Here is a 3,563-nt window from a genome sequence, read left to right as displayed (position 1 = left end):
TAAGAGTACCTTTCAGTAGGATCGTCATGAAGTTCAAATACATAAACATACATAAAATGCTTAGAACAAAACTTGAAACTTGGCATGTAGCACAAAAACTGCTTACTATCATTACTTGTACAAACCATCCTTACACAACCTATTCTATTACAAGCTACCAGAACATAGTCCATTTTATTCATTATTTTATCCCTAATGCCTACAGCCATGCTAGGTATATAATAAATATTCAATAAACATTTGTTAAACTAACGTCTTGGTGTATTAGCTCTACATCATCTCTGCTCCCATTTAAGGCAATGTTTTATTTATTTAACAGATGATTTCTTCATTTAACAATCCTGGTAAAATGCCATTTTGTATTCTTGGTAACTTGTCTATTCTGTACATTGAAGTCGAGTTGGAGACTTTTTTTTTTCTTTCTTATTGCTCTTCTGGATTGCAGCTTTTAAAATTCAAAGCTGCCTAATGGGCTGTTTAGGAGGTAGTGAGACCTCTATCACTAGAGACATTTAAACACCTGATAAGGGGTTGGACTGGATGACCGTTTCCAAGTCTGCAATTTGTGATTCTATATCCTGTGTTCTTAGAGCACTTAATAAGGGCAGTTAAATGAAACATTTAGTTTAAACAGTTATCCACTTATAGCCTATATTAGGCTAAATGCATTTTGCATATGTTTAAGATGACTCTTACTATGGTAAATAAAACCTTAGCATTTTCCTGATGCTCACAGGAGATTTTGTGACAGCAGGTACTGGAAATGCATTTAAGCTCACTCGGCAATTGTTTGGTGCTATACCACGTATTTTACCAGTCATTTAACTTGATCAATTTTTAATAATACAAATATACTGTAGAAAGTGACACTGCAATTTAGACAAGGGCACATAATATTTTACAAACCTCAAATCTGGAAAAGATAAGGTACCTTTTTCCCCTTGCTACCCACAGATACAAAAATAAACGCTTTAGCAAGGATTCCGGCAAGGAATCAGGAAGCCTGAGTCCTAGTCTTGGTTCTTCTATAGGTAAGAAGGACTGAGGGCTTTACATTTTGCTCTGTGTATGGAAATTCAAGGTGCAAAATAGTAGTATAATTTAACAGACACCAGGAGCTGGGCCCCTCTTGCACAATGCCATTCATAGTAAACCTATGAGGCATCAAGGGGCTATTAAAATAGTTCCCAACCCAGCACAGAGACCCAGAGCTGGAAGGAACATTCTGACTATGCAGATGAGTTCAGAGCCTGGGAGAAAACAGGATGTGGGCTCCTGAGAATTGCAATAAAGACTGAAAGCATGTGCCTCCAGCTTCAGGGCTTCTGGGTGAATTTCTGCTTCAGTCACCTGATATCCCTTCACCATGACATAAGCAAAGAGAATTCTTCCCACCTGATGGCAGAAACTCACTGATAGTTACTCCATGGCTTTATGGTAGCTGCCTCATGTTGACTTCCAGTTCAGAAAGCCTCTGTCTACTCTCTCTTGTTGATTCTGTTTTCTCAGTGGAATCCTGTATCCCATTTACCTGGAGAAAAAAAAAAAAAGGTACTTTCAAACAAGATAAAAATTAAAACTCCAATGAATCAATCAACCCTCACTCCTTTGCTCACTCAGATTGTCTTTTATGTCACTTTTGTGAGATTTTGAGTGTGCAATGGAAAATAAGGTTTTTGTAACAAGTTCAGACCTTTGCTGATATCTTTCCCCTTTCTACCTTACCTAAATTAGGTCCTTCCACTTTATGATGTCACGATACCCAGCACTTGCCCTTCACAGTACTTGACACATTTGGATGACTATTTCCTGAATGACTTTCTCACTCTCTAGATGAAAAATCTGTAAAACCAATGATCATGCCTCTCTTGTTTACCAGCTTTTATTCGCCCAGCAGCCAGCATAGTGCTTAGAACAGTAGGCACCCAGGAAGTATGTGGTTCAGACACTTATTCTGGCTTGTGTTTTATTTCAGCATACAGCAGTGTTGGGTTAGGTGGGGTTGGTGTAGTCATCTGGTGATGTGGTTTACTTAAGCAGTCAATGAGAATGTTCTGATCAAGATAAGACTTCACACTTCTCCCACTGACTTATTGATATCAAGTAAGTGCCAATTTTTTCAGAATTCCTGTCTTGTAATTTGTCTGCTAAGGTAAATATGGATGAAGAAAAAACTGTTATAACAATTATACAGTCAAATGCATTGAGGAAAAAAAATGTACCATGCCTAACATTTATATCCTCTGGTCATGCAGTAAGTCTCAGTGTGCTACTGACAGGTCAGTTTTTGAAAGTCTCCTAAGAAAACCAAAGAGATTTGGAGTTCATTTTGAAATGAGTGGAAGAGAGCTTACAGTGGGTTCTTTTATCCCTCTCAAGTTAATTCAATGTGCTACTTGTAGCTTGGGTTTGATCTGAGGTATGAATCATTCATTAGGTAAGCGGCTTAAAGGTGCTGGATCTAAATCATGCACGTTGCACTGTGGTTGGTGAAAATATCAGGTTCTTGGCGATGATTGGTGGAAATAAATCACCTCTTTCTTGTATCATAATGTAACTTTATTTTTTCTTTTTAGATGGAGTTTCACTCTTGTCACCCAGGCTGGAGTGCAATGGCACGATCTCGGCTCACTGCAACCTCCGCCTCCCGGGTTTAAGTGATTCTCCTACCTCAGCCTCCCGAGTAGCTGGGATTACAGGCACGCACCACCACACCTGGCTAATTTTTGCATTTTTAGTGGAGATGGGGTTTCACCATGTTGGCCAGGATGGTCTCGATCTCTCGACCTTGTGATCTGCCCACCTCGGCCTCCCAAAATGCTGGGATTACAGGCGTGAGCCACTGTGCCTGGCCAGTAATTTTTATTTATTTCTTTTCCTCTTTTCTACCTCTCCCCACTCCTCTTCCCCACTTCTCCTCCTGCACTCCCTACTCTTTCTTCTTCTTTTTTATTCCCTTTCCCAACCCCTGCCTCCTGAGTTGGCCTTTTCTGGCTGTGTAGGACAAATACTAGGTAATATTCAAAACATGCTCTGAAATATTCTACAATTCAGAGACTTGGTCACATCAATTTTGGTCATTTTTGATCAGGATGGCGGATATTAAGTTTCCAAACTCAGAATGCATTACTAGGATAAACCTGTGTGGAGTCCTTTAAATTCCTTAAATAGCCAGAAACAGGCAGTTAGATCTTTCTTCCTTTTTTTTTTTTTCGTGCAAGTGACTGCAACCACCATGCTAAACTAATCATATCATTTTCTAATTTATTTGGAATGTGTATTTGTACAGCTATATGTGTATACATATCTATCTATACTTTTAAGGAAAATGAAGTCAGTAGTCACCAGTTTTTCTTTTTTTTTAAAGTCAAATAATCCCAAATGCAGTAGACCTTTTCCAAATGCATAAGAACCTGAGAAGGGTAGATTTGCCTGTTCTGAGGATCTGATTTTCTAGCTCGCTTACTTCATTCACTTCACCTCCATCTCGGGGCTCGGATCATTCCTGATAAGGCACTTGGACAACTGGTTCTGGTTTCAACTGAAGTCTTGTAGCCCTACTT

General features: G+C 39.2%; 1 annotated feature.

Moving 5' to 3' along the window:
• Window positions 1,899-2,028: a silencer, noted in NCBI's record as "silent region_8908". NCBI's record gives its function as "represses an Ori minimal core promoter by ATAC-STARR-seq in GM12878 lymphoblastoid cells {active_cell/tissue: GM12878}" and the evidence as "EXISTENCE:reporter gene assay evidence [ECO:0000049][PMID:35858748]".

This window comes from Homo sapiens, chromosome 17 (assembly GCF_000001405.40).
Source record: "Homo sapiens chromosome 17, GRCh38.p14 Primary Assembly".
Taxonomy (NCBI): Eukaryota; Metazoa; Chordata; class Mammalia; order Primates; family Hominidae; genus Homo; species Homo sapiens.
The sequence above is the reverse complement of the archived record's forward strand: the minus strand, read 5'-3'. Positions and strand labels throughout refer to the sequence as shown.